General features: G+C 50.6%; 2 protein-coding genes across 169 annotated transcripts, besides 11 other annotated features; both read left to right on the top strand.

The window, feature by feature from the left end:
* Positions 5,614–5,983: an enhancer, noted in NCBI's record as "active region_13320". NCBI's record gives its function as "activates an Ori minimal core promoter by ATAC-STARR-seq in GM12878 lymphoblastoid cells {active_cell/tissue: GM12878}" and the evidence as "EXISTENCE:reporter gene assay evidence [ECO:0000049][PMID:35858748]".
* On the top strand, positions 6,037–11,382 carry CXXC1 (CXXC finger protein 1). Of its 4 annotated transcripts, none has more exons than XM_017025718.3 (16): positions 6,037–6,142; positions 6,221–6,306; positions 6,871–6,989; positions 7,090–7,190; positions 7,472–7,707; positions 7,801–7,980; positions 8,378–8,404; positions 8,482–8,727; positions 8,890–8,997; positions 9,167–9,351; positions 9,628–9,835; positions 9,914–10,024; positions 10,165–10,214; positions 10,368–10,464; positions 10,723–10,875; positions 10,990–11,382. In XM_017025718.3, exons 2-16 carry the CDS (start codon positions 6,304–6,306, stop codon positions 11,134–11,136), a joined length of 1,971 nt encoding a protein of 656 aa, XP_016881207.1. In that variant the 5' UTR covers positions 6,037–6,142; positions 6,221–6,303; the 3' UTR covers positions 11,137–11,382. The 4 variants fall into 4 exon arrangements, with proteins under 4 accessions (XP_016881207.1, XP_011524242.1, NP_055408.2 ...); XM_011525940.3 differs by having other exon boundaries at positions 8,890–9,009; NM_014593.4 differs by lacking the exon at positions 6,221–6,306.
* Positions 6,094–6,183: an enhancer, noted in NCBI's record as "active region_13319". NCBI's record gives its function as "activates an Ori minimal core promoter by ATAC-STARR-seq in GM12878 lymphoblastoid cells {active_cell/tissue: GM12878}" and the evidence as "EXISTENCE:reporter gene assay evidence [ECO:0000049][PMID:35858748]".
* Positions 6,304–6,423: an enhancer, noted in NCBI's record as "active region_13318". NCBI's record gives its function as "activates an Ori minimal core promoter by ATAC-STARR-seq in GM12878 lymphoblastoid cells {active_cell/tissue: GM12878}" and the evidence as "EXISTENCE:reporter gene assay evidence [ECO:0000049][PMID:35858748]".
* Positions 7,244–7,293: an enhancer, noted in NCBI's record as "active region_13317". NCBI's record gives its function as "activates an Ori minimal core promoter by ATAC-STARR-seq in GM12878 lymphoblastoid cells {active_cell/tissue: GM12878}" and the evidence as "EXISTENCE:reporter gene assay evidence [ECO:0000049][PMID:35858748]".
* Positions 10,967–11,547: an enhancer, noted in NCBI's record as "H3K27ac-H3K4me1 hESC enhancer chr18:47808552-47809132 (GRCh37/hg19 assembly coordinates)". NCBI's record gives its function as "activates a minimal SCP1, AML or CMV promoter by ChIP-STARR-seq in primed H9 embryonic stem cells {active_cell/tissue: H9 hESC(primed)}" and the evidence as "EXISTENCE:reporter gene assay evidence [ECO:0000049][PMID:30033119]".
* Positions 11,548–12,128: an enhancer, noted in NCBI's record as "H3K27ac-H3K4me1 hESC enhancer chr18:47807971-47808551 (GRCh37/hg19 assembly coordinates)". NCBI's record gives its function as "activates a minimal SCP1, AML or CMV promoter by ChIP-STARR-seq in primed H9 embryonic stem cells {active_cell/tissue: H9 hESC(primed)}" and the evidence as "EXISTENCE:reporter gene assay evidence [ECO:0000049][PMID:30033119]".
* Positions 11,962–26,844, top strand: MBD1 (methyl-CpG binding domain protein 1). 165 transcript variants are annotated; one of them, NM_001399965.1, is made up of 18 exons: positions 12,206–12,366; positions 13,712–13,846; positions 16,533–16,639; positions 16,731–16,897; positions 16,985–17,067; positions 17,311–17,351; positions 17,748–17,894; positions 18,001–18,129; positions 18,285–18,359; positions 18,484–18,600; positions 18,684–18,752; positions 19,376–19,543; positions 19,869–20,165; positions 20,303–20,395; positions 20,774–20,905; positions 20,991–21,052; positions 22,189–22,260; positions 23,911–24,883. In NM_001399965.1, exons 6-17 carry the CDS (start codon positions 17,343–17,345, stop codon positions 22,226–22,228), a joined length of 1,338 nt encoding a protein of 445 aa, NP_001386894.1. In that variant the 5' UTR covers positions 12,206–12,366; positions 13,712–13,846; positions 16,533–16,639; positions 16,731–16,897; positions 16,985–17,067; positions 17,311–17,342; the 3' UTR covers positions 22,229–22,260; positions 23,911–24,883. The 165 variants fall into 165 exon arrangements, with proteins under 165 accessions (NP_001386840.1, NP_001191072.1, NP_001386894.1 ...); NM_001323949.2 differs by having other exon boundaries at positions 19,866–20,165; positions 20,258–20,395; positions 23,923–24,883; NM_001399888.1 differs by having other exon boundaries at positions 16,525–16,639; positions 19,379–19,543; positions 19,866–20,165; positions 20,258–20,395; positions 23,918–24,883.
* Positions 12,274–12,383: a silencer, noted in NCBI's record as "silent region_9457". NCBI's record gives its function as "represses an Ori minimal core promoter by ATAC-STARR-seq in GM12878 lymphoblastoid cells {active_cell/tissue: GM12878}" and the evidence as "EXISTENCE:reporter gene assay evidence [ECO:0000049][PMID:35858748]".
* Positions 12,394–12,473: a silencer, noted in NCBI's record as "silent region_9456". NCBI's record gives its function as "represses an Ori minimal core promoter by ATAC-STARR-seq in GM12878 lymphoblastoid cells {active_cell/tissue: GM12878}" and the evidence as "EXISTENCE:reporter gene assay evidence [ECO:0000049][PMID:35858748]".
* Positions 17,921–18,421: an enhancer, noted in NCBI's record as "H3K4me1 hESC enhancer chr18:47801678-47802178 (GRCh37/hg19 assembly coordinates)". NCBI's record gives its function as "activates a minimal SCP1, AML or CMV promoter by ChIP-STARR-seq in primed H9 embryonic stem cells {active_cell/tissue: H9 hESC(primed)}" and the evidence as "EXISTENCE:reporter gene assay evidence [ECO:0000049][PMID:30033119]".
* Positions 25,023–25,292: a silencer, noted in NCBI's record as "silent region_9455". NCBI's record gives its function as "represses an Ori minimal core promoter by ATAC-STARR-seq in GM12878 lymphoblastoid cells {active_cell/tissue: GM12878}" and the evidence as "EXISTENCE:reporter gene assay evidence [ECO:0000049][PMID:35858748]".
* Positions 25,453–25,642: an enhancer, noted in NCBI's record as "active region_13316". NCBI's record gives its function as "activates an Ori minimal core promoter by ATAC-STARR-seq in GM12878 lymphoblastoid cells {active_cell/tissue: GM12878}" and the evidence as "EXISTENCE:reporter gene assay evidence [ECO:0000049][PMID:35858748]".

Here is a 26,949-nt window from a genome sequence, read left to right as displayed (position 1 = left end):
AGAGTTCATATTGATACCCTGTGGCCCAAGGTCCCCACCACAAATCACATTGCTATCATAAACTATCTGGTGTGGACCAAGATCCTAGGTAAATATAAACATTCTTTTTTTCTTTTTGAGACAGAGTCTTGCTCTGTCATCCAGGCTGGAGTGCAATGGCGTGATCTGGGCTCACTGCAGCCTCCACCTCCTGAGTTCAAGCAATTCTCCTGCCTCAACCTCCTGAGTAAGTGGGATTACAGGCACCCGCCACCACACCTGGCTAATTTTTGTATTTTTAGTAGAGACAGGGTTTACCCATCTTGGCCAGGCTGGTCTTGAACTCCTGACCTCAGGTGATCCACCCACCTTGGCCTACCAAAGTGCTGGGATTACAGATGTGAGCCACTGTGCCCAGCTGAACATTCTTATTAGGCAAGTAATTCTGAGCACTTTAAGGTTATCTCCCAAGAGCCAGTCAAATATCAGATTTTTTTTTCATGTGAAGGTTTGAACAACCAAGGCCTGCTGAGTTAATCTTTTACCGCATGGCACTATTTGGAGAGTTCCCATTCTGGACCTAATTCATATTATTCTCTCAGATGTCTTTCTAGGAGGATGTTAATTTTGCCCATTTTTATAGATGAGAAAAAGTTCTCAGAAAGATTAACTACACTCTGCAATGTAAAGCAGCTAGTATTAGTAGAGCCTAGAATCAAACTCAAGCTGTAACACTTTGTTCTTGAAGGCATGAACTGTAAAATATACCTCTAAAAACTATGACTTAAGATATTGCAATAGCCACAGAATATTTCAGTGTCATTGAAAACATAAGATAGATATTGAATCCCTTGGTCTTATTTTTCTGGCATGTTTCAGCAAATTCTGCCTGAATTTGTGCCTGAATGGACATTAACCTCATGAGAGACCTACAATAGTTCCTTTGCATTCAGAGTCTGAGTTCTTTCCAGACTAGGGATGCTGCATAGAATGGCCTGGGCTCTAAATATATCCCTCCCACTGGCTGCTGTTTTTGCTGATTCTCAAGTCCACTCTCCCCTGGGCCAAAGTGGTTGTCAGTACCACCGTCACCCATCCTGGCTCCTCCCTGCTCCTTATTCAATTCACCTGCACTTGAATGACTTCTAGGCTTGGTTCCTGCTCTCAGCCCCTGTGTCCATTTGGAGAGTGAGTACCTGCTTTGATTCTTGCCCAAGGTCCAGTCTTGACCCAGTCCCTGCCTCCCGCAATCACAAAATGCCAGAAAGATTAGAGGGCCACAGTCTGTTTTTCATACTGTTTTAGACCATTGTGATATGGCTTAGTCACTTCCCAGTTCTAACTCAATGGGACCTAGCCCTCTGCTACACCCCTCTGCTCTCTCCCCACCCCAGCCCTGCCCTACCTAATCCACACTGAGTCTAGGCATCTGTAGATACCTTAAGCCCTGATTTTTTTTTAGCCAATTTTGAGTTCATTTGAATATTATATCAATGTCAGTAAATGAATTTAATAGTCATTATAATAGAATGATTTTCAGACTGGTCCAAAAAACAGAATTCAACTAAACTGAACAGGTGGATATGCTGGGCAAAGGGATAATTTACATCCCAGGTGGGATGGAATGGCACGGTGTGAGATTTCATCACAATACTCAGAATGGCATGGTAATTAAAACTTATGAATTGTTTATTTCTGGAATTTTCTTTCTTTTTTTTTCTTTTTTGAGACAGGATCTTGCTCTGTCATCTGGACTGGAGTTCAGTGATGCAGTCATGGCTCACTGCAGTCTGGACAGCCCGAGCTCAAGCAATCCTCCTGCCTCAGCCTCCTGCATAGCTGGGACCACAGGCACGTGCCACCATGCCCGGCTAATTTTTTTTTTTTTTTTTTTTTTTTGAGACAGAGTCTCACTCTGTCACCCAGGCTGGAGTGATCTCGGCTCACTGCAAGCTCCGCCTCCTGGGTTCATGCCATTCTCCTGCCTCAGCCTCCTGAGTAGCTGGGACTACAGGCACCTGCCACCACGCCTGGCTACTTTTTTGTATTTTTTAGTAGGGACGGGGTTTCACCGTGTTAGCCAGGATGGTCTCAATCTCCTGACCTCGTGATCTGCCCGCCTCAGCCTCCCAAAGTGCTGGGATTACAGGCGTGAGCCACTGCACCCGGCCTAAGTGTTTATAATTTGTAGAAACGAGGTCTTGCTATGTTGCCCAGGTTGGTTTCAAACTCCTGGGCTCAAGGAACCCTCCCTCCTCGGCCTCCCAAAGTGCTGGGATTACAGGCATGAATCTCTGTGCCCAGCCCTCTTGAATTCTTTACTTAATATTTTCAGACCATGGTTGATCATGGGTAACTAAAACTTCAGAAAGCAAGACTGTGTATATTCCTCAGCGAATGATTCCAGTACTGATTTTGTCTGTGCTTGCTGGCAAATTAGAATTGAAGTGCTAAGCATGGTTTTGTCATTGAATTTCGGATATTTATGTCATCCTTGCTGTTTGCAAGAAGTGTCTGGAAGACTTCCGTCCCCCTCCCAGGAATCTTTGGTAGAGTTGAGCTCTCCTTTCCCTTTCCTGTGATCCCCACCTTGTGCTGAGATCCTGTACTTAGTTTCTCATTCTGTGTTGTTTGTTCTCCTGCCTAAGAACCTAATCCTGATTCCTGGTGTCTGATCCCCTGGACTTCTGATCCATTTCCTGAACTCAGGTCCACTGTGACCCTTAGCTTTCAGAATCTGCTCCATTCTGTGCTTGCCTCATGAACTTTTTTATCTAGCTTCTCTCGTCCTGGGGCTTCCCTGAGTCTATTCCCTGATTCCAGCCCACAGCCCAACACTCACAGTAGGAAGATTTTACTATTAATATCAGATCCATTATTACTGGCTGTGTGACCTGGCAAGGGACTTAGGCTCCCTGAGTCTCAATTGCTTTCACTGCAGAGTGGGGACAATAAGGCTCCTGCTCCATTCACCGTATAAGGCAATTAGGATCAGATAAACTATCATGTGCGAAAGTATCTTGCGAACTATCAACCATTAACCAAATAGAAGATTTTTAAAATTATGACTATTACCATCATCATCAAGCTAGACTTATGAAAAATTTACTATTTGACAAAATACTAATCTTTGTTTGCTTCACCATGTCCATACCAGACTGCACACAGATCAAAGTGAGCACCAATAGTGTAAACTGGGAGCTCCTCAAGGGCAGCATTTCAGATGGTGCTGGGGATTTGAGAAAATATGAGAGATGTTTATATTTATTTTTATCTCATTCCTTTAAATATGTATTTTATGTGGTTTCTGATTTTTGCACTATATTGCTGTGGTAATGTGTAGTATTTATAAAATGGCTGTGAATGCTGACAGTTTTTTACTGACAAGGGTGATGAATTTACAAGTTTGCACTGGCCGGGCGCAGGGGCTCACGCCTGTAATCTCAGCACTTTGGGAAGCCGAAGGTGGGGGTGGATCTCTTGAAGTCAGGAGTTAGAGACCAGACTGGCCAACATGGTGAAACTCCATCTCTACTAAAAATACAAAAATTAGCTGGGTGTGGTGGCACGGGCCTCTAATCCCAGCTACTCGGGAGGCTGAGGCAGGAGAACTGTTTGAACCCAGGAGGCGGAGGTTGCAGTGAGCCGAGATTGCCCGCTCCACTCCAGCCTAGGTGACAGAGTGAGACTCCGTCTCAACAACAACAACAAAAGTTCGCACTAATCTAATAACCTAATAAGGCTCTGATATAGGAACCTTCATACACTGCTGGTAGAAATATATGTATCAACCATTGAAAGACAAAATTACAACAAATTTAGTTACAGATGTAATGGCTTTTACTTGCAATTCATGAATTGGGGCAGATCCCATTATACAAAATAGAACGAGAGCTTTTCCTGGGAAATAGCAGAGCAGTGAATTTTGTAAGGTTGGAGCAAGGAAAAAGAACAATTTTTTTTTTAAAGCTGATTGGTTAACATCAGATTGCTTCAGGTTGCTTTTTTATAAAGGTTAAAGCAAAGGGGACTTTCAAGCTAAAAGTGGCTTGTATGGGGATTTGGCTATTATCCTGTCTCTTTCTCCTTGGAAGGTCAGATGAACAATTTAGTTTTGGCTTGGTGGCATGGAACTTCAGCGTGAGTGACTCCATTTTGGTGGGGCCTAGAGCAGGAGCTCTGTCCAAACTAATGACCTCCTATAAATTTGAACATGTCTTACAATATTTATAGCCAATTACAAAGTAATTCTACTTTTAGAATTTTATCTCTAAGGAGAGTCAACTAAGAAGAGGCAAGAGACCAAGCTGCAATGCAGGAGTTTATTGGGGCATTAGGAACTGCAATTCAGGAGACACAGATTCAGCTCGAAGTCAAATTGTACTCCAAAGATAGGAAGGGGAGAAGGAGTTTTTAAGAAAAAGAAAAAGGAAGCTAAGGGTGATTACACAAGTTCTTTTAAAGAAATTATTATTGGTGGAGGCGGCTGGCTGGCATCAGTCCATAGTTCATTGGTTGTTGTTCAGGAGACGCAGCACTAGTGAAATATAGCTGGTTTCCAGGACTGTGTGGTCATTGCAGTTTGGACCAATTCAAAGGTTCGAGGCAAGTTCCTGTTGTGTTTTAATTTTGTTTTGTTTGTTTTCCTTTTTGCAAGTTTGCAGGGAGTCCATAGAATGGCTTCCAGGCGGGCCAGGCACGCGGTGGTTCACGCCTGTAATCCCGGCACTTTGGGAGGCCGAGGCGGGCGGATCACCTGAGGTCGGGAGATCCAGACCATCCTGGCCAACACGGTGAAACCCCATCTCTACTAAACATACAAAAAAAATCAGACGGGCATGGTGGTGCATGCTTGTAATCCCAGCTACTCGGAAGGCTGAGGCAGGATAATCGCTTGAACCCGGGAGGCGGAGGTTGCAGTGAGCTGAGATCGCGCCATTGCACTCCAGCCTGGGCAACAAGAGTGAAACTCCGTCTCAAAAAATAAGTAAATAAATAAAAATAAATAAATAAATACATAATAAATAATAAATAAAATAAATAAATAAATAAATAAATAAATAAATAAAGCCTGGCTTCCAGGCTCCATCTTACAGCTGTTAACCAGAGTTACACCTGGTATATCACATTTGTATATTTGTAAATTTGTATATCACATTTCACAAGAAATAATCAGGGATGAGCATACAGATCTATGTTTAAGAATGTTCGTTGCAACTTTATTTAGAATAATATTTGAAAATGTTCTAAATGCTAAACAATAAAGAAATGGATAAGTAAACTGTGTTTAGGCTTATTGTGCAGCTTATAGAACTAAAATAAGATTTGATATTAGTTTAAGAATTGTTTTTAAATAAAAATAAAATAAATAGAAGCCGAACCGTGCCAGGCCTGGCAGAAGAATGACAAGTGGGAGGAGTAAAAGCCGGAAAGAGTGGTGGCAGGTGAAGTCGGAGACGACAGAGGAACTGGTTTCCTCCGCCCCGCAAGGCACACAGCCTGCCGACGCCCCATTAATACATGTGGAAGGGGAAAGAGACTGAATGGAGGAATGAATACAACTTGATCCAGGTCGTGCTTCGGAAGCGGTCACTTTACCTGTGAACCTCTCTGCCTGACAAACGGGCAATGTACGGAATCAACCACCAAGATGGCGGCGCCCGTGAAGAATCCGCAATTAGGTCGCCGTCATATGTCGCCTAGGAACGTACGGAATTCGACCCACGTACGGAATCGGATTCCAAGATGACGGCATCTATGAGGAAGTCACGCAGTAGGTGCAGCCATGTTGCCTGTACGTCGAGGCCGTACAAGCAGCCGCCGTACGGACTCTACTGACAAGGTGGCGGCGCCCTCGGGAAAGCCACATTAGAGCGCGGCCATGTTCCCGGCGAACATATGGATTCGGCCACCATACGGATACGATAAGCAAGATGGCGGCGCCTGAGGGGTCTTGGGGGCTCTAGGCCGGCCACCTACTGGTTTGCAGCGGAGACGACGCATGGGGCCTGCGCAATAGGAGTACGCTGCCTGGGAGGCGTGACTAGAAGCGGAAGTAGTTGTGGGCGCCTTTGCAACCGCCTGGGACGCCGCCGAGTGGTCTGTGCAGGTTCGCGGGTCGCTGGCGGGGGTCGTGAGGGAGTGCGCCGGGAGCGGAGATATGGTAAGTAGCGGGTCCAGGGAGGGGTTCGGCGGTGGAGGTCGGTCGGTTGGCAACAGTGGGGTCTGTCGGCCGACTCAGGGGTCTGTGGTGAGCCATAACCGGAGTCTGTGGACTGAACGGCGGGAGTCTATGGGCAGAATGATGAACCATCTGGGAGTTCTATGGTGAGCCACGGTGGGGGGCTCCTTAATAGAAGTTTAGTGGGGACTCCGTGTGGCAGTTCCGTGGGAAACCATGATCGGGGGTTCTTAGGGCAGAGGGATAAGCGGGTTGTAAGGAGTCACATTGAGTGGTCTGTAGTGAGCCGTGACGAGGAGTCCGTGTCCGGGTATCCGTGGACAGCCGCGACTGGGGGTGGGTGCGGGTGCCAGGTGGGTCTATGAGATAAACAGGGAGGGGTGCGTGGAGAACCGCGATGGGAAGTCCGCAGTGAGTTACGCGGGGTCTGTGAGGCGCCACGATGGAGGGTCGCCATGACCCATTAGCGAGTGTGGACGCAGGGAGCGGGTGTCGGTGGGTGCGTGATGGGAAGTATGGAGCAGAGTAATAGGATGTCAGAGGAAGGGATGGGGGTCAGTGGGGACTGTGATGGAGAGGTTTTTTGGGGGCCCCGATGTGAAATCTGCAGGCAGAGTGGGGATCCCTGCTGACCACGGTGGAGTTGTAATGGGGGGATGAGCCGCCACGGTGGGGGCTGCTTAAGGATCCGTAATGGGGGTGTCCTGCAGGAGGGAGATGGTTCAGACCCAGAGCCTCCAGATGCCGGGGAGGACAGCAAGTCCGAGAATGGGGAGAATGCGCCCATCTACTGCATCTGCCGCAAACCGGACATCAACTGCTTCATGATGTGAGCGCGGGAGAGATGGGCGGGGCTGACACTGGCAGGGTGGGGTGAGGCCGATGGGCCGCGCCCCTCACATCTCCATCGCCTGCCCCATCCTCTGCAGCGGGTGTGACAACTGCAATGAGTGGTTCCATGGGGACTGCATCCGGATCACTGAGAAGATGGCCAAGGCCATCCGGGAGTGGTACTGTCGGGAGTGCAGAGGTGAGGGCCATGGATGGACAGGGAAGGCAGGTGGGGCTTCAAGGGAGGAGGAGGAGCCACAAGGGGGGGTTATGGGGATTAGTGATACACGTCTGTGGTGAGCTGGAATGGGGCTCCATTGTGAGTAATAGAAGATCCCACGGGAAGAGGCAGCTCTGCCCTGGACAGGGGTGCAGAGTAGGTGGGTGGGTCAGTAAGGGAGCGAAGAGGAAGAAAGAGGTTTTGGGACCATTCAAGCCATCCAGTGCTCACTCACTTTGGCCCTACTCTCTGCCCCACAGAGAAAGACCCCAAGCTAGAGATTCGCTATCGGCACAAGAAGTCACGGGAGCGGGATGGCAATGAGCGGGACAGCAGTGAGCCCCGGGATGAGGGTGGAGGGCGCAAGAGGCCTGTCCCTGATCCAGACCTGCAGCGCCGGGCAGGGTCAGGGACAGGGGTTGGGGCCATGCTTGCTCGGGGCTCTGCTTCGCCCCACAAATCCTCTCCGCAGCCCTTGGTGGCCACACCCAGCCAGGTGAGTGGCTGCATAAAGTGAATGGATGTGTAAAGTGGTTCCGTTTCAGCCCTGCCTGGGTCCATGATTTCTGTTCTGGGCCCCCTCCTGCAGCATCACCAGCAGCAGCAGCAGCAGATCAAACGGTCAGCCCGCATGTGTGGTGAGTGTGAGGCATGTCGGCGCACTGAGGACTGTGGTCACTGTGATTTCTGTCGGGACATGAAGAAGTTCGGGGGCCCCAACAAGATCCGGCAGAAGTGCCGGCTGCGCCAGTGCCAGCTGCGGGCCCGGGTGAGCATGGACAGAGCTGGGTAGGGTCAGGTGTGGGAGAGCTGGTGGGTCCATGCATGGTTAGTTAAGTCTAGGCATGGATAAACCAGGTGGGATTGGGCCTGACTGTATCCTGACAGGTGGGAAGGGGCCTGTCATGTCCAGATGAATGGGGCATGACCTGGTATGCTGGGCTGGCAGAACACCCCCACCAACCCTGGGTAGACAGAGTGGGGCCAGGTGTTTTCAGGTGGTCATGCATGTTGGTACAGATCAGGCAGGGCTGAGCATTCCTGGCAATGAGGGGTAGCGGGGAGGTGTGTCTGGGGAGGTAAGGCCAGGCCAGGTGGGTAGGGCTAGGGCAAGGCCGCCCTCCATCCACCTGGGGCTGACCTGGGCCTTCCTCCTGCCGGCACAGGAATCGTACAAGTACTTCCCTTCCTCGGTGAGTCCAGCCCCCCAGGGTGGGGTGGGGCATGCGGGCAGGGCGGTCAGGGCCAGTCCTGAGATTCTGCCCTGCAGCTCTCACCAGTGACGCCCTCAGAGTCCCTGCCAAGGCCCCGCCGGCCACTGCCCACCCAACAGCAGCCACAGCCATCACAGAAGTTAGGGCGCATCCGTGAAGATGAGGGGGCAGTGGCGTCATCAACAGTCAAGGAGCCTCCTGAGGCTACAGCCACACCTGAGCCACTCTCAGATGAGGACCTACCTCTGGATCCTGACCTGTATCAGGACTTCTGTGCAGGGGCCTTTGATGACCATGGCCTGGTGAGCAGACAGGAGCATCCACTGGTGGAAGGGTGGAGGTTACAGAAGCAGAGAGTATCCCTAATGAGGAGACAGAGGGTATGGAAGGCTGATATGGGACATGAGTAGGTGGTGGGGTTGTCACGAGCGGGGCAGGTGGGTCAGTGCATGCCCTGCTTGCAGCCCTGGATGAGCGACACAGAAGAGTCCCCATTCCTGGACCCCGCGCTGCGGAAGAGGGCAGTGAAAGTGAAGCATGTGAAGCGTCGGGAGAAGAAGTCTGAGAAGAAGGTGATGGAGAGGGTAAAGTGGATGTGGAAAGGCAGAGGGTGGGGTTGAGGGAGAGGCAGAGGTCAGAGGCTGAATGGGGCAAGAGCCAGAAAGGGCTAGAATGGAGCAAGGGTCTGGGGTCTGGGGCTGACTTTGACTCCACCCTGACCTGACTTGTCTTGCTCAACAGAAGGAGGAGCGATACAAGCGGCATCGGCAGAAGCAGAAGCACAAGGATAAATGGAAACACCCAGAGAGGGCTGATGCCAAGGACCCTGCGTCACTGCCCCAGTGCCTGGGGCCCGGCTGTGTGCGCCCCGCCCAGCCCAGCTCCAAGTATTGCTCAGATGACTGTGGCATGAAGCTGGCAGCCAAGTGAGTCATTCCTGAGAGGTTCAAGGGAGTCAGGAAGTGCATGGTAGGGCCTGACCACAGCCTTCTGTATGTCTACCAGTCAATCAGCTATCCACCAGTCACCAAACAGCCACTACCCACTCACCCATCCACCTACCCACCCACCTGCCCGTGTGTCCATCCAGCCACCATTCCGCCAGTCACCTATTTACTTCTCCTTTTGCCATTTGCGTCTATTTTGCCATTCTCACTTACTGATCACCTCACTCATTCTGTTGCTTGCTACCTTCCCTGCAGCCGCATCTACGAGATCCTCCCCCAGCGCATCCAGCAGTGGCAGCAGAGCCCTTGCATTGCTGAAGAGCACGGCAAGAAGCTGCTCGAACGCATTCGCCGAGAGCAGCAGAGTGCCCGCACTCGCCTTCAGGAAATGGAACGCCGATTCCATGAGCTTGAGGCCATCATTCTACGTGCCAAGCAGCAGGCTGTGCGCGAGGATGAGGAGGTGAGCAAGCAGGGGCGCAGCAGAGCAGGGCCTGTACTTTGTCCTTCCCAGCCTTATTGTTCCTTCCATTCCATGCAGAGCAACGAGGGTGACAGTGATGACACAGACCTGCAGATCTTCTGTGTTTCCTGTGGGCACCCCATCAACCCACGTGTTGCCTTGCGCCACATGGAGCGCTGCTACGCCAAGGTTGGGGTGTCAGACTGAGGGGGCGGACCATGTGGGAACATCAGTGGGCCAGTGGGGGACAGATTTGTTGTCTGGGTGGTGTCTTGGGAGGGCATGCAGCGCACATCCACAGTTCCCTCCATTTGTGCTCATCCCTCCAGTATGAGAGCCAGACGTCCTTTGGGTCCATGTACCCCACACGCATTGAAGGGTAAGTGAGGGTGCCACGCAGTGAGAGGTGGGGGGTTAAGGCGGGGGTCAGAAGTGGGATGTGTGTGGAGCTGGGGCAGGATACGGGCAACCAGCCAGGACAGATGGACCTCCCTTCCCTCCCTCTACTGCCCTCTCTACTCCAAATCCCCAGGGCCACACGACTCTTCTGTGATGTGTATAATCCTCAGAGCAAAACATACTGTAAGCGGCTCCAGGTGCTGTGCCCCGAGCACTCACGGGACCCCAAAGTAAGGTTTTCCCTCAGCTCCTCCCATTTTGCCCCTCCTCCCTGCCTCGCTGTCCCACATTCATCCCTTCCTTCCTCACCTCACTTTTCCTTCACTTTTTCCTCTCAGCTTCCCTGCTGCTTCACCCTCCATTCCTCCTTTTCCATGCCTCCTCACCGTTCCCTGAACCCTCCATTCTTTTCCTTCTCCCTCCTTGAGCCCCCATTCCTATTCTCCCTTATCACCGCTATTCATCCCCCCAACCTGGCCTCCTTGCAGGTGCCAGCTGACGAGGTATGCGGGTGCCCCCTTGTACGTGATGTCTTTGAGCTCACGGGTGACTTCTGCCGCCTGCCCAAGCGCCAGTGCAATCGCCATTACTGCTGGGAGAAGCTGCGGCGTGCGGAAGTGGACTTGGAGCGCGTGCGTGTGGTAGGTTTCTGTGCGGTTTTGGTGCTGCATGTGGTAGGTTTCCATGTCGGACGTGGCCGGGGCAGGCGGGGCTGCAGGTGTTCCTGCTTAGGACTCCTGCCGCTCCCTTGGCAGTGGTACAAGCTGGACGAGCTGTTTGAGCAGGAGCGCAATGTGCGCACAGCCATGACAAACCGCGCGGGATTGCTGGCCCTGATGCTGCACCAGACGATCCAGCACGATCCCCTCACTACCGACCTGCGCTCCAGTGCCGACCGCTGAGCCTCCTGGCCCGGACCCCTTACACCCTGCATTCCAGATGGGGGAGCCGCCCGGTGCCCGTGTGTCCGTTCCTCCACTCATCTGTTTCTCCGGTTCTCCCTGTGCCCATCCACCGGTTGACCGCCCATCTGCCTTTATCAGAGGGACTGTCCCCGTCGACATGTTCAGTGCCTGGTGGGGCTGCGGAGTCCACTCATCCTTGCCTCCTCTCCCTGGGTTTTGTTAATAAAATTTTGAAGAAACCAAGGAAGCTGTCTCCACATTGCTGCGGTTGCAACTGTTCCAGACTTCTGGATAAGATGGGGGGCGCCTGCACCCCGCGAGAGCCCAGGGACCCACATTCCCAGCCTCCCACGGGCAGAGGGTCTACGCAGCGCGCCTTCAGTGTGGTGACACCGCCCATGCATGCTCCTGTCTCCCACCCAGAGCTGTCGTCCGCTGTGGACGCCAGGCCCCGCCTTTTCCCCACAAGCCCCACGTTGGGGATCCGCCTCCTGCAGGGGCGCGCCCTCCCGCGTGCCTCAGTTTACCTGCGGTGTGGCACCGCCCCTTTCCCCGCCCCGCGCGCTCCCACAGCTGTTCGGCGGGGAGGAGGGAGCGGGACACGACCCCCCCTGGGGTTGATGTTCGGAGGGACCCACGAACACAGGATAGACCCCAGCGAGAGGTGGGAGAGGAGAGCGCCGGCAGGGCCAGGGAGTGCGCAGGCGCGAAGCAGCTTCCTTGCCGCGTTCGGTATCGGCTGTGGAGACCGCGGGAGGGAAGGGAGGGCGCAGGCGCAAGCCCTCCCCGACCGCTTCCCTTCAGGTTGAGGCTGGAAAGCGCATGCGCCAGCTAGATGGGCAGCGAGGAGAGCCGCAACTGCCAGTCCCTCGAAGGGGTTAGCTGTCGTTGAACGTCAGCACGCAGATGCAACTGGCTCTCGGCAGGGGGGCGCGCGCACCGCTGCGGAGCGCCGGCCCGTAGGCGCGGGAGCCTCCCTATTAAGGGCACGCGACATCGAGGCAATAGTGCGCAGGTGCTTAGCCAGAGGCGGAGCCCGAGAGGCAGGCAGCGGACTTCCGGTTCCGGGAGCAACGAACAGCCGCGGAGGCGACAGCTACCGCTTCAGAGGAGGCGGCCGCGGAGGAGGAGGAAGGGGAGGAGGGCGAGGCGGGAGGTGCAGGAGGGACCCTCGCCATGGGTCCACGGGCCTAGAGTGGCGGAAGATACCGGCCTGGTGCCAAACTGGTGAGACAGCCTTGGGGCTGGACGTGGAGAGCGCTCAGGCGGAGGATGGGAAGGAATTGTGGCTCAGAACGCTGACGGGGAGGAATGAAGGGCCCTCAGGCCGATAAGGGGGAGGAATGGCGGCGTCGGAATACTGACGAGGAGAAATGGGGGGATTTAGGCTGAGGACGGGAAGGAATGCAGCTCTGAACTCTGACAGGTAGGAGTGTCGGGATCCTGGGACGAGGACGGAGAGGAATGGTGGAGATCAGAACGCTAAAGGGAGACATCGGGGCATCTGAAGTTGAGAGAGAAATGGGGGTTCAGAACTCTGAGAGGGAGAAATGAGGGGCCCTCAGGCTGATGACAGGAGAAATAGAGGCTTTGGAATGCTGAAAGGGAGGAATAGGAGGCCCCATATAGAGGACGAGGAGCAGTAGGGGATCAGAATGGTGACAGTTAGGGATGGCATGATCCCGGGACAAGAACAGAGAGAATGGAGGAGGGTTCGGAATGCTGAGGGGAGAAATTAGGGTCTCTCTGGATGATAAGGGAGGAATGGAGGATGAGAACAGTAAGGAGGAGAAGTGGGGAACTTTTTGGCTGTAGAGGAAGGTTTGGGAGCTCAGACTAGGGAGAAATTGTGGGTGAGAACATTGAAGGAGAAGAAAAATAAGGGGGGAGGTCTTGGGCTGAGGAAGGGGAGGCATGGGAGGCTTCCAGTGTGAGGAATGGAAAAGATGAGGGGCTGTTCAGGCTATGGGTTGGAGCAGTTGTGTCTCGCAGAGGAAGTCGAGGTTGTAACACTGAGGTAGCAGGATAAGAGGACATCAGGCAGAGAAGGAATGGAGTGGTTAAAACACTGAAGGAGGGAAATTAGGAACTCCTGGGTCAAGGAAGGGGGGAATGAGAGACTACTGAAGTCAAGTAGTGAGGGCAAGAGAAATGGGGCCCTTTGGGGCTGAGGATGGGGACTATGGGGGTCTTGGGGTGATAAAATAGAGGGATAGAGGCCCTTAGGTCAGTGACAGGGAGGAATGAGGGGGAAGGATGAAAAGTTTCTGGATTGGCAGTGAGGAGAAATGATGGGTTGTCAGTCTGAGGATAGAGAGGAGTAGGGGATTAGGACACTGAGAATAAGAAACAGGGATCCTTGGGTTGAGGAATGATGATATCCTAGGCCCAGAATAGGAAAGAATGGGGTGAGAATATGAGGGGTTTCTTTTCCATATATGGGCTGGTTGCCTGTGGCAGGTCCTAGGGCTTGGGCAAGCACTAATGGATACCAGTGATTTGTGTGGCCTGGGGCACAGTGTTGTCCCTTCCTAGAGCCTCAGTTTCCCTCATCCCTTCCACCCCCTTTCAGGCTACTGCTGCTTCCTGTGGCCTCCATGGCTGAGGACTGGCTGGACTGCCCGGCCCTGGGCCCTGGCTGGAAGCGCCGCGAAGTCTTTCGCAAGTCAGGGGCCACCTGTGGACGCTCAGACACCTATTACCAGAGGTACTGGGTGGGTAGTGGGCAGAGTCAGGAGTGGGGTAGAGCCTGATTCTGGTAAAATCAAATGGTGTGGTTAAATTTATGGATGAAGTTTAAATTATGCACATACAGTTAATCCTTATTAGCGGATTTTATGTTTGAATTTCACCTACTTAATAAAATTTATTTGTAACTTAAAAGTCACTACTCACAGTGCATTTGTGATTATTCAAGAATACGTACAGAGCAGTGAAAAACTGTCACTCAATGCATGTATTTCTAGCTGAGGCTGAAGGAGCCCTTTTCAGCTTTAATACTGTAAACAGGTGTCCTTTTCGTGGTCTGTTTAGTGTCACATTTTTCTAATTTTTGTACTTTTTGGTGATTTTGCTTTTTAAAATGGTCCCCAAGCATAGTGCTGAGGTGCTGTTTAGTGTTCTGTGAGAAGACTATGTCGTGCTTTATGGAGAAAATACAAGGCAGATAAACTTTGCTGGTTATCTGAGTTACAATGCTGTTGGCTGTAAGTTCAATGTTATGCATCAGAATTATGGTACAACCAGAAAAAGAAGGAAATTTGCCAATATGTGCACAAAGCTGCTTCAGAAAGTACAGAAAGCATTTATAGTCTTGAAGCTATGTAAGAGATGAGAAAGCAGCTACATTGGTGGGTTCATGAAATGACGATCAATAAAGCATAGTTGACAGCATTGTTGAGGAAAGCCAAAGTCATGTTACCCTGGGTTAGGAAAATATTAAGGTTATATCAGCTAGTGCTGGCTGACTTGCACATTTCAAAAGGCGACATGGCATGAAACATGTTAAACCTGCATGCAATGCAGGTTCTGCTGATCAGGAGTCTTCCGAAGAATTTTAAAAATACCTGTTAAGTGTTGTACAGGAAAGGGGTTGTGTGGAAGAGTGGTTTTCAATGTCAATGAGATTGGCTTGTTAAACAAGAATATTGGCAAAAAACCTTACATAACACATACGGCCTCCAAGTCCCCTGGTTTGAGTCATTCAAAGACCATGCAAATAATCATTTGTAAAAAAAAATATGTATTAAGTAATGTGTGTTTAAACAGAAACACACACAAAACAAAAGTTCAGATGCTCTCAGGAACCTAACCCTGTATTTCTTCTAGGAGCAATGGTTTTGTATTCAATGTTCATGATAGCTTTGTAGAACGTAACTACCATAACTAATGAGAGTCAACATAGATGTTTATAAGCATTTACATGTGTTTAAGAAACATTATTAAGTTTCTATATTCTTTCTGATTTTTTAAATCTAAGTTGCTATCTTTCCAGGTAAATATCAAATTACAAATTACTTTTTGTTTATATTTAGTTATAATTTATTCACATATTTATGTACTTGTATAAAACTTTCAAAACTTAAAAGTGCAGTTGTCAAGAACTATAAAGAACCTGAGATTTCATTCTTAGGACAAGATAATAGTGAATTTGTCAGAATTTTGTAGATGCTGGTAGGAGGGGTAAGACTCCTGGGTTACAGATCAAAGACAGTTTATTACAACAGTTGCAGGATCCAGAATACAGTAGTCTCCCCCTTATCTGCAATTTCATTTTCCACAGCTTTAGTTACCTACAGTCAACCACCATCCAAAAATATTAAATGGAAAATTTTAGAAATAAACAATTCATTAGTTTTGAATTGTGTGCCGTTTTGAGTAGCGTGATGAAATCTCACACCATCCCGCTCAGTCCTGCTCAAGAGGTGAATCATCTCTTTGTCCATATCCGTATCCATATCCATGTTCTAGACACAACCTGCCTGTTAGTCACACAGTAACCATCTCAGTTATCAGATAGAAAAAACACAGTACATATTACATTAGGGTTTGGTACTATCCACGGTTTCAGGCATCCACTGGGGAACTTGGGATGTATCCCCTGCACGAGAGGGGGAATTACTGTATTACTATTTTTGTGCCAGTTTCTGAATCCCAATTCCTACAGCATGACGTGAAGAGGGTTGTATTATTATAGGAAAAGAACCGTGAGCTTAGAGAATCAGGTTTTTTTTAAATAATATTAAGACAGTAAGTATGCTTTCCCTTTGGAAAAAGTATACTTTCCCTTCCTCCTATGGAAGGAGACCCTATCTCTTATCTTCCAAGGTTGTTTGCTTTACAAACATCCTTGGAAAGATAGTTTATCAAAAAGGACAATCGTTGTCTCTCTTGCAGGGCATACAAAAATGCAAGAAACCCATGGGGGTCCCAAAATCAATTACTTATACTTTAATTTGTATGTAGTTGCATTTGTTTATATGTTTTTAAAACATATTTGTGTTTTCTTTACTTGATATATACTTGGTACATAATGCTAACATTTATATGTTATATTTGTGTTATATATATATAACACAAATATAATATATTTGTGTTCCTATTTGTGTTTATTTTTACTTACATGAAATAGTTCCAGTATTACTAGTATTATATGTTGTAAATATGTTCATCTGTTTACATTTATATTGTTTCTAATGTTTCTATATGTGTTGGTATTTATATTAATTTTTTTATGTTTTCAAGGTTAGTTGAGGTGGGGGCTGGGCAGGGCTCACAAGCCAATTCCAGGCTGCCTCCTATATCCTGCCAGCCCTGTCAAAAGGTTGTATGAGTGAAATGGCATTGGCTCCACCTGGGTGCTAACCCATCATGGCCCATCCCTAGCCCCACAGGAGACAGGATCCGAAGCAAAGTTGAGCTGACTCGATACCTGGGCCCTGCGTGTGATCTCACCCTCTTCGACTTCAAACAAGGCATCTTGTGCTATCCAGCCCCCAAGGTACTTCACAACATGAGATACCTAGGTAGGGGTGGATGTGCCACCCAACACCCAACCACTGACCCATATTCCTCCTTCCCTTACTTTCCAGGCCCATCCCGTGGCGGTTGCCAGCAAGAAGCGAAAGAAGCCTTCAAGGCCAGCCAAGACTCGGAAACGTCAGGTTGGACCCCAGAGTGGTGAGGTCAGGAAGGAGGCCCCGAGGGATGAGACCAAGGCTGACACTGACACAGCCCCAGCTTCATTCCCTGCTCCTGGGTGAGTGTTGGTCTAAGGTGAGCCAGATGGGTGAGGGTTGTGATTGGGGGTGCTCTTGGAGCCCCACACCTGCCTTTCCCATCCCAGGTGCTGTGAGAACTGTGGAATCAGCTTCTCAGGGGATGGCACCCAAAGGCAGCGGCTCAAAACGTTGTGCAAAGACTGTCGAGGTGAGTGGCCTCCAGAGGATGGGGCATCGGGAGATAGGAGCTGGAGCAGGTCCAGTGTCATGCTAGGCTGGGGTTTGAATGTGGATGTCAGGACAGAGGCTACTGGCATGGTTGGAGGTTGGATATTGGAGATAGCAGGCATAGGTAGAGGTTGAATAGTGGAAGTCAGGGCACAGGCAGTGAGTGAAGTCAGATGTCTGTTGCTTCCTTTCCACTTTTCTTCTTCCCTCTTCCTCCCCACAGCACAGAGAATTGCCTTCAACCGGGAACAGAGAATGTTTAAGGTAAGCACAACCTGCTTCCTCTTCACAACTCTGCAGTGGGAGCAGGATGTGATGGAGCTGGTAGAGTCTGAAGGGATGATGATGGGTCCACAGGATGAAGAGTCATTTTATAGGGTGCTCTCCATAGGTCAGCAGACACAATAATGGGAATTAATGGGGTAATTAATCCCCATTACCATTAGTGCATCAGTAGACACAGTGATGAAGTGAACAGGGGACCAGTAGACATACTAATGGCCTCAGTGATGGTGACTAACCAGACCTTCTCAGATACGGTGATGAGGCTAATGGGGGACTAAAATTCATGGTGATGCCAGCTGATGTAGGGTCAGTAGACATGGGAGGACCAGTGCTTCTGGAGCAGGCCCGTGATCTCGTCCCTACCATTCCTGGCAGCGTGTGGGCTGTGGGGAGTGTGCAGCCTGCCAGGTAACAGAAGACTGTGGGGCCTGCTCCACCTGCCTCCTGCAGCTGCCCCATGATGTGGCATCGGGGCTGTTCTGCAAGTGTGAACGGAGACGCTGCCTCCGGATTGTGGAAAGGGTGAGTTGGGCAAGTGGAAAGAGCCCAAGGCTCACCTCGGCCCCTGGCCCCCATGGGCTTGGCCCCATGCTTCATGCCTCTGCTCCCACCTGCCCCCCGCCAACAGAGCCGAGGGTGTGGAGTATGCCGGGGCTGTCAGACCCAAGAGGATTGTGGCCATTGCCCCATCTGCCTTCGCCCTCCCCGCCCTGGTCTCAGGCGCCAGTGGAAATGTGTCCAGCGACGTTGCCTACGGGTGAGTTGGGCTGGAGGGAGCAGAGCTCATTCTGCTGTTAAAATCGTCGCTGCCTCTGCTTCCTTTCAACCTGGCCTTGCCTACCTCATGTCTTTCTTTTCTGCCTAACCCTATGCTCGCCTTTCTGGCCCCGCCTACCTGCCTCTGTCTGCCAGCACCTTGCTCACCGCCTGCGTCGCCGTCATCAGAGATGTCAGCGACGCACTCCCCTGGCTGTGGCTCCCCCAACTGTGAGTGCCTCACGCCACCCTCTGTCTGCCTGTCCCATGCATGCTTTCTGCACTTAGGGTGTGGGGAGTTTCTGTGTCTGCCTGGTGCCACCAAGCTGAAACCACCCTTTCTGATCTTTCCCAGGGTAAACATGCCCGCCGCAAGGGAGGCTGTGACTCCAAGATGGCTGCCAGGCGGCGCCCCGGAGCCCAGCCACTGCCTCCACCACCCCCATCACAGTCCCCAGAGCCCACAGAGCCGGTGAGGCCCCAGTGGGTGGAGGGAAGGCACAACCCTGACCTTACCCAGTACCTGCCCTGACCCCACCCCATTTGCCTCTACAGCACCCCAGAGCCCTGGCCCCCTCGCCACCTGCCGAGTTCATCTATTACTGTGTAGACGAGGACGAGCTAGTGAGTGGCCCCACCCTACCTGGATAAGCCTAGAATCTCAGGACGCTTGGTTAACTTCAAAGAAGCAGATGCTGGAATGAGCCTATTGGGGAACAGCAAGGCACAATAATGGGTCCTAGGATGGGATGAGTAGATAATGGAGGACTAATACGGGGTCAGCAGGTGCATGAGAGTGCTTCATGTCACATATACCAACACTCTGGTAGCTGATGTGGGGATTGACAGAGGAGCAGCTAGCATAGTGACTGGGGTTCACCTAGGATGAGCGACAGAGTAGGCACAGTGATGGGAGCTAATAGAGAGTTATCAAAATGTTGCTGGAAATGGGGGTCAGAGACATTTTCTTGGTAGCTAGTGGTGGCCTAGGAAATACAGCAGTGGATACTGTAGTGGAGCAGCCACAGTCCTAATGGTATCGAGGGCCAGCTGGCACAGTGATAGTGGCCAATGTTGAACTAGCGAATGCTGAGGAGTGACTAGTGGGGAGTCAGGAGGCTGAGACTAGTATGCAAGTAGCTCCGTCTTATGGGGCTAGAGGAGCACCAGGACCAGCACTGGAATAGGCGTTGAGGATGGCCTCTCCTAGTCCTAGTTGACAGCACCACCCATTCCCCCCACCCCAGCAGCCCTACACGAACCGCCGGCAGAACCGCAAGTGCGGGGCCTGTGCAGCCTGCCTACGGCGGATGGACTGTGGCCGCTGCGACTTCTGCTGCGACAAGCCCAAATTCGGGGGCAGCAACCAGAAGCGCCAGAAGTGTCGTTGGCGCCAATGCCTGCAGTTTGCCATGGTGGGTGGGGCAGGAAGGGTCAGGTGGACGGGATAGGTTGGGCCAGGCGCCCCAGTGCCTGGAAGTGGTGGGCAGGCTTGGTAGGTGGGTGGGTGGGGCAGTAGCTTTGGTTGAGGATTAACAGACATTGTTCTTGGCTTAATGAGTCTAGGTGGCATTGGTGTTGCTAATAGGAGACTAGCAGGCTCAGTGATGAAGGGCTCATATGTAAGCAGATTCCGTGCTGGGACTGATGGGAGATTAGCAGGCATGTGGAGCCGGGCAGGGTGGATGTGATTGGTCAGGACACCAGGTAGCCATAGCACCCTATCTTTCCCCATAGAAGCGGCTGCTGCCCAGTGTCTGGTCAGAGTCTGAGGATGGGGCAGGATCGCCCCCACCTTACCGTCGTCGAAAGAGGCCCAGCTCTGCCCGACGGCACCATCTTGGCCCTACCTTGAAGCCCACCTTGGCTACACGCACAGCCCAACCAGACCATACCCAGGCTCCAACGAAGCAGGAAGCAGGTGGTGGCTTTGTGCTGCCCCCGCCTGGCACTGACCTTGTGTTTTTACGGGAAGGCGCAAGCAGTCCTGTGCAGGTGCCGGGCCCTGTTGCAGCTTCCACAGAAGCCCTGTTGCAGGTGAGGGCCCCACCCTGTCCTGCCTTCCCAGCCTCACCCAGCTGCATGCCAGGGAGCTGAGACCAAGTCTGCTGCAATCCTCCCTCACGCAGGAGGCCCAGTGCTCTGGCCTGAGTTGGGTTGTGGCCTTACCCCAGGTGAAGCAAGAGAAGGCGGATACCCAGGACGAGTGGACACCAGGCACAGCTGTCCTGACTTCTCCCGTATTGGTGCCTGGCTGCCCTAGCAAGGTGGGGGCAGTGATGGATGTTCTGTTGGTGCCGTAGCGGAGTGGTCTGTAAGCAGAGTGATGATGAGCCATGATGGTTCTCTTGAGCAGAGCAATAGATGTGCTGATTGCGACGTTTCTGCAGAATTACCCCGCCTGTCTAACAGACACCCTACCTCCCACAGGCAACTAGCTTTGCCCGCTTTGCTATCCAGCTAACAGAAAAACGGAGGTCAGTGAGGAATGGGAATGGGAAAGCTTTGTAGGCAGAGAGATGGACTTTCTGTGTTGAAATGTGATGGAAGTAGGATTTGTCAGCACAGTGAGGGGTTGGCTGATAGAGACTTTCCTCAGGTGAACTCTGCCCTTCTAATGGTTGCCTGTTTCCTACTTCTCCCAGGCAGTAGACCCAGGCCTGCCTTCTGTGAAGCAAGAGCCACCTGACCCAGAGGAGGACAAGGAGGAGAACAAGGATGATTCTGCCTCCAAATTGGCCCCAGAGGAAGAGGCAGGAGGGGCTGGCACACCCGTGGTCAGTGCTGGGGATGCCCCACCCTGCCCTGACCCTGCTGTAGCCCCAACAACCACATTGACCTATGGTGTTAATTCTTCTCTAGATCACGGAGATTTTCAGCCTGGGTGGAACCCGCTTCCGAGATACAGCAGTCTGGTTGCCAAGGTGTGCCCCACACAGTGAGGGGTGGGGAAGGAGTGGGTGTTGGCCAGATGTGGGCCCTGAGTTTTGAAAGTATAGCCGGCAGTTTGGCATGGTGTGGTGGGAGGTAAAGGCCCATACCCACTATGCTGGTCACAATTAATGAGGGGCGTGTGTGTAGGACCCTAGAGATTTCTCCTGAGATCCAGCCCAATAGCATTCCAGGTTAGGACTCTCCTTTGGGGGTAGGGGAAAGACTTGGTACTCTATCATGAGATTTGAAAGAAAAAGATAGGGAGTCTGGTCCCTATTTTCCTAAGGAATTTCTATAGGGGTCAGCTTTAATATATAAATTCTTATTCAGAGAATAATCATTTGGGTCTTGAAGGCCTTTAGAGTCTCCAGGAGACCTCTGGGTGGGCTGTTGCCTGACATTGAGCAATGTGTACCAGAGAAATGGTGCTGGGCTTGCCTGGGCAGTGGTATGGGCAGGAGATCTGGGTTCCGAGCTGGCTTTGTGAGCTGGGTTCACACGTAGTTGTGTGATCTCTGGTTGCCCTGCACTTCCTGGAGCGGCCTCTGTGGAAGGGCTTGGGCTGGATCTCTTGAGCCTTTCCTGAGCCTATTGAGGTTATTAACTTCAGATGCCTTGCAGAACTGTCCCTGTAGTCCTGGCATAGAACAAAGGGTAGATGCCTGTAAGGACTAGGGTGGTTGGGAGGACAGAGGAGTGCTGGCTCCTGCAGAATATTGACAGACCCTGCATAGAGCCCCAGACACTGGCGATGTAAACTATTGGCCTAAGCACTTGGATTCCTTTGCTCCTACAAACCAGCCCACCAGGCTAGAAACCCTTTCATCTATACTTGGCCAATTACAGAAGTATTGATTGAGTTCCTGTTGGGTGCACAGCATTGAGGACAATGAGCCCTGCAAAGCTTACCCTTCAGGAGACACAGGATACCTACCTTCAGGGAGCTTATAATCTGACTATGTACAAGCTGTCTATAATGGTAGTTTTTAGAAGATATAAAAAAAGATAAAGGATAATTAAGGGGAAGTGGATGGAGGACACAGAATAGTAGGAAATGGTTTTGTAATGCTCCATTGCGCACATAGCAAACCTCATTCAACATACAGACCTGCTCCCTTTTCCCTAGGTCCAAAGACCTTAAAAAACCTGGAGCTAGAAAGCAGTAGACTGGAGGCTTCTACAGACTGTAGGATTCAAGGTGATATTTGCAGACTGGCTTTATGAGAGACAACACTGATCTACTAGGGGCTGGACCCTAGATTGGTTGCCAGGGCTTGTGTGTGAATCAACCCTAGGAGGAAAAACCTACTACCAAACCAGAAGAGCAGGCCTAAGAGTACTTTGAGCTTCTAGAAGAAGTAAGCGGGAAAGGAAGAGAAAGAGTAGAAAGTTGGTGCATCTTCTCCTCCCCAAGAGCCTGAGTATAAGAAGTTGGATTTTAAGGGTGGGGGAGCTGGGTTGGAGAAAGGTAATATAATTAAAGCCACCACAAAACAACCTAAACAAGCCATGTTCATGAGTAATTGTAAGTGGCTTCTGGATGAGACCTGGCAGTGTCTCTACATACTTCCTCAGGGAGATAGCAATTGAAAATGTAATTGAATAAATAAGGAAAGGAACTGCTATTTGGTGTGTTCCTCTGTGGACCCAGTTTATTTAATCCTTAAAATAATATTTTTGGGAAGACATTGATTTTGTCCATTTATGTGGATGGGAAAACTGAGACTCATTAATTTGTCCAATGTCGAACAGCTGGTGTTAGTAGAGCCTAGACTCAAACCCAGCTTTTAAAGCCCTTGTTCTTTACTCCACTAAACTGTAACCTGTAATCCTGTATGCACTAACAGGAGTTTTCGGTGACCTTGAAAACACAGATTACTATAATTACTATAATAAATCCCTTACATTCCTGTCTCTAGCATGGTTTAGGGAGTGCCAAGGCTCAATGTAGATGGGGTCACCTTGTCAGAGCATCTGTTCATACAGAAACTGGGTTTCCTGCAGACCCCAGGTGCTGCATAGGATTCCTCAAACCCTACAGGATATATCTCCCCACTGGCTGCTGTCCATTTTGCTTGTTACCCTGACTCCCCCTCTTCAGCCAGAGCAGTCTTTGTAACTAAAGCTGCCAGCCTGGCTCATCTTTCCTGACAACGTGCATCTCCTGCCCTGTGATCACCTTTGTGCTTGGCTCCTGCCCTCAGCCTGAATGTGTTCTAGGAGGCTGAATTCCTGCTTCGAGTCCTGCCCAAGAGCCAGTCTTGGCTCAGCCCTACCTCACTCTCTCCCAATTCTTCATTCATAAAGTGCCAAAAAGATTAGACCTGTAATTTGTTAGCCAGCTTTACAGGGCCAGGACTGAGTGAGTGCCTCCTTAAACTTTGTATCCTGTGTGCCTCCCTTGCCTTACCCTAGTCCCAGCCCTGCAGCTTTAAGTAATTCAGACATGGATTAGCCATTTCCCAGTTCTGTCTCATACAGTCCAGCCTCTGCCACCTTCCCCACCCCTTCCTTTATTCCATCCTAACTAGTTCAGCCCTAGTCAAGACTGGATAGACTGATACTGCTTTGTTTCCCCCAGGAACCAACCACCCAACCCCAGTATTCTGGTAATTTTGACAATGATCTATATGAAATTTATTTGATTGACATTTAGACTCATGAGTTAAGCTTCTGCTGACCATTTATGTTAGGGTACAATCAGAGGAGCAGAACCACTAAGATAAAGATTATGTATATATGTATTTTAAGGGATTTATTATAGGGATCTGACCGCATGCCATTGTGGGAGCTGGTTAAACAGTCTCTGTAAGGCTGTTGTCTTTGCATCTAATGCTGGAGCTTGAAGTCTGCAGGGCAGGCACTCGGGAAGGGAAGATGGATGTAAAGTGTGGGAGACCGAGGACACAGTGGAGCCCACGAGCACGAGCTGGAACCCACGAGGATGGCCTGGAACCCATGTCAGTCTCTCACCACCTCCAGCTTCGATGATGTGGGTGTCCTGCAGAAGAAGCTGGTGCCCTTCCTCACAGAGTTAAATATGCATCTGGCCCAGGAATTAGAGAAGCTGAAAGGATGATCCTGGGGAAGGTGGAGCAGCTGCAGGCCTGGCTGCAGGCCTGACTACTGCCCACACCAACGAGGTGATCTAGCAGATACATGGCAACGTGTGAACTGCAACAACGCCTGGTGCCCCAGCACCAACCTTCCAAGTGTAAAAACAATGTGCTGCTGCTTCACTTCCGCCCTCCGGTTATCAAGCAAAATGTCTCTTGTGGCCCATCTTACTGGAAGAGAGTTCCGGGAAACATAGCCTCACCAAGGTGACACATTACAAAGCCACCCTACCATGAATCCGCTCCCAAGGGTCTCACTGCTCACCTGAGGATAACTCAATATAACTATGTGGCTGAAAATGCAAAGCTGAAGACCATGGATTTCATGGTGATTCCAGCAAGTACAGAGATTCTATGAAGCCCACCCAGAAAAAACTTGCTGGTCCTGGCTATTTTTGTGTCATTTATTCAAGTATTGAGAACCTGGCCTGTGGTAGGCACTGTACTTAATACTAGGATACAGAAATGCAAAAGATACGGCCCATGCAATTTTATTAAATGCATCAATATGTATTACAAATGGTGAATGGATTTCCAACTTTATCATGGAATTTAATGCTGAATATATAGAATTCAGAAAATTGTTGGGAGGACAGCCCTTTTGTGAACCTTGTTTGGGGCACAGTAGGAATTGGAAATAATTTAGTTTCTATCTCTAAGCTGTTCTATTTTAAAATTATTTTTAAATTTTTATTGTCCCACTTACTTACATGCTTAGTGTTTCTTTTGGGAGTGGTTTGGTGGGAACAGTGTTGACTGCCTCTGAGAAACTGGGATAGTGGGTGGGAAGATCAAATCAAGGTCACTTCTTTCCAAGGACCCTGAGCGATTCACTTACCTAGGCCGCGGGGGCGGGGGGTTGGCTGAAGGCTGAGGCTCTTGGTGCTCAGCACTGGCCGGACACCTTCAACCTGCTGGTGGGTCCGCCAGGGGGCGCCGGGGCGAGAAAGCCCGTAGTTCCCAGCCACAGTCACCCACCGGGGCCCTGGAGGCACCGCTCGTCACCCATCACCCCTGGCCTGGCCGCCCTGGGGCGTGGTCTCCGTCCGGCGCAAACCCCAGTACTTGGGCTAGGGCCAGAGGGAAGCTGAGTCCCCCTCTTCAAATAGTGGTAAAACAGGCAAAACCGAACCGGGGTTAAATTTCGGAGCTCGCCCAGGGTGAGGGCGGGGCTCGACGACCTAGGACGTTCGAGTGCGGCCGGGTGTCGCCAAGGGTCGGTTTACCCCATCGCCTCAGAAATTCCGACGAGGCCCTTTGGGCTGCACAACCTTGGGAATCCCCAACGGGCGGCCCCGAATCTGCGCCGATTTTCCCAAGCCGTACTTCGGGCCCAAGGCGTTTTCATTGCCGCCTTCCCGGAGGATGTGTGGTGGGGGTGGTTCCGCCCGGACCGACGGGCGGGCCCGGAGCCCGTTGGACTCGAAGATCAAAGAACCGCCCCTCTGGACACTCCAGGAAACCGAGACGACCACCTAATTTGTTTGTTTTCTGTTTCAGGCCACGTAAACTCTTAGTAAATGCAAATGCGTATTTTACTGAACTGCAATTGAAAGAACCGTTATAGAAAAGAACACAAAATGACAGAATTATTAAAAGAGAAGAAAAACATTATTTCGTGGCTGAAAAGCTGAACCAGCAATTCAGGAAATGGAATTCGTATTTAGAAACATACCACATACAAAATCCGAAGTGGGTGGTTTACAAATGATTAAGGAATGCTAATTTACAGTAAATTGCGTCCTTAAGAGGGCATACACATTAGTTGTACTTATTATATGTCAGTTTGACGTAGGTACTGATTTGTTGCATGTGCTCACAAGTGTTCTATGCTCACCCCCACTTTAGAATGGGAGTATCACAGTGTCATTCTTAATTGGCTTTTAGGTATTACCACCTTGCTCTTGACTGGAAATGCAACTGTGGTTACCACCTGTGCTGCAGGTCCGTCCTGGTTCCCTGATTTGTGTTTCCTGTTCTGCCTGGATCCTGATTCTCAGAAACCAGTTACTGGACTTCTGATCCACATCCTGACCCTGGTCCACTGTGACCCTCAGACTCTTAATTATGCTCCACCAGGTCGTGCCACTGCCCCACTAGTCCATTTGATCTGCCCCCATCCTAGGATATCCTGAGTCTAAGCCCTGGTTTCTGCCAATGGCAAATAGGAAGATTTTATTAACAGGTTTTAAAAAATTATTATTATTACTGGTTATTTGGTTTGACAAGGCACTTAGGCTCCCTGAGCTTTGCCTTAGCTGGAAAATAAGGATAGTATTACTTGCTATTCTATCAACCCTGTAAGATATTTGCGGCCACGCGCGGTAGCGCACCCTGTAATTCCAACACTTTGGGAGGCCGGCGGGAGGGGCAGTGGGGAGGATCGCTTGAACCCAGGAGCAGGAGTTCCAGCCTGAGCAACATAGCGGGACCCCCTGTCTCTTCAAAATTTGTTTTTAAATTAGCAGGGCGTGGTGGCGCAGGCTTTGTAGTCCCAGATACTCTGGAGGCTGAGGCCCAGGAGGACGAGGCTGCAGGGAGCCATGATCACGCCACTGCACTCCACCCTGGGCGACAGAGCGAGACCTTGTCTCAGAAAAAATCTGTGAGGTTAAAAGGCTGTGTGTGTGAAAATATCTTGGAAATTGTAAAGAACTACACAAATATAAGGTTTTCCTGTGATTATTACCGTCATCAAGATTAACCTACAGATAGTGCAAAATTTAAGCTTCCCAAAAAATGTTCGCTAACCTTTTTCATACTTTTAGACC

The sequence above is a fragment of the Homo sapiens genome, chromosome 18, assembly GCF_000001405.40.
Source record: "Homo sapiens chromosome 18, GRCh38.p14 Primary Assembly".
Taxonomy (NCBI): domain Eukaryota; kingdom Metazoa; phylum Chordata; class Mammalia; order Primates; family Hominidae; genus Homo; species Homo sapiens.
The sequence above is the reverse complement of the archived record's forward strand: the minus strand, read 5'-3'. Positions and strand labels throughout refer to the sequence as shown.

Excerpts from the sequence above, each read along its gene's own strand:
- CXXC1 (NM_001101654.2), top strand. Across the intron at positions 8,405-8,481 it reads ACAAGTACTTCCCTTCCTCG|CTCTCACCAGTGACGCCCTC; the intron begins GTGAGTCCAGCC and ends TCTGCCCTGCAG. Across the intron at positions 10,215-10,367 it reads TACCCCACACGCATTGAAGG|GGCCACACGACTCTTCTGTG; the intron begins GTAAGTGAGGGT and ends CCAAATCCCCAG.
- MBD1 (NM_001323942.2), top strand. The coding sequence starts at position 13,737 with ATGGCTGAGGACTGGCTGGACTGCCCGGCCCTGGGCCCTGGCTGGAAG. Across the intron at positions 17,068-17,310 it reads GTTGTGCAAAGACTGTCGAG|CACAGAGAATTGCCTTCAAC; the intron begins GTGAGTGGCCTC and ends TCCTCCCCACAG. Across the intron at positions 20,396-20,773 it reads TGCCTGGCTGCCCTAGCAAG|GCAGTAGACCCAGGCCTGCC; the intron begins GTGGGGGCAGTG and ends TACTTCTCCCAG.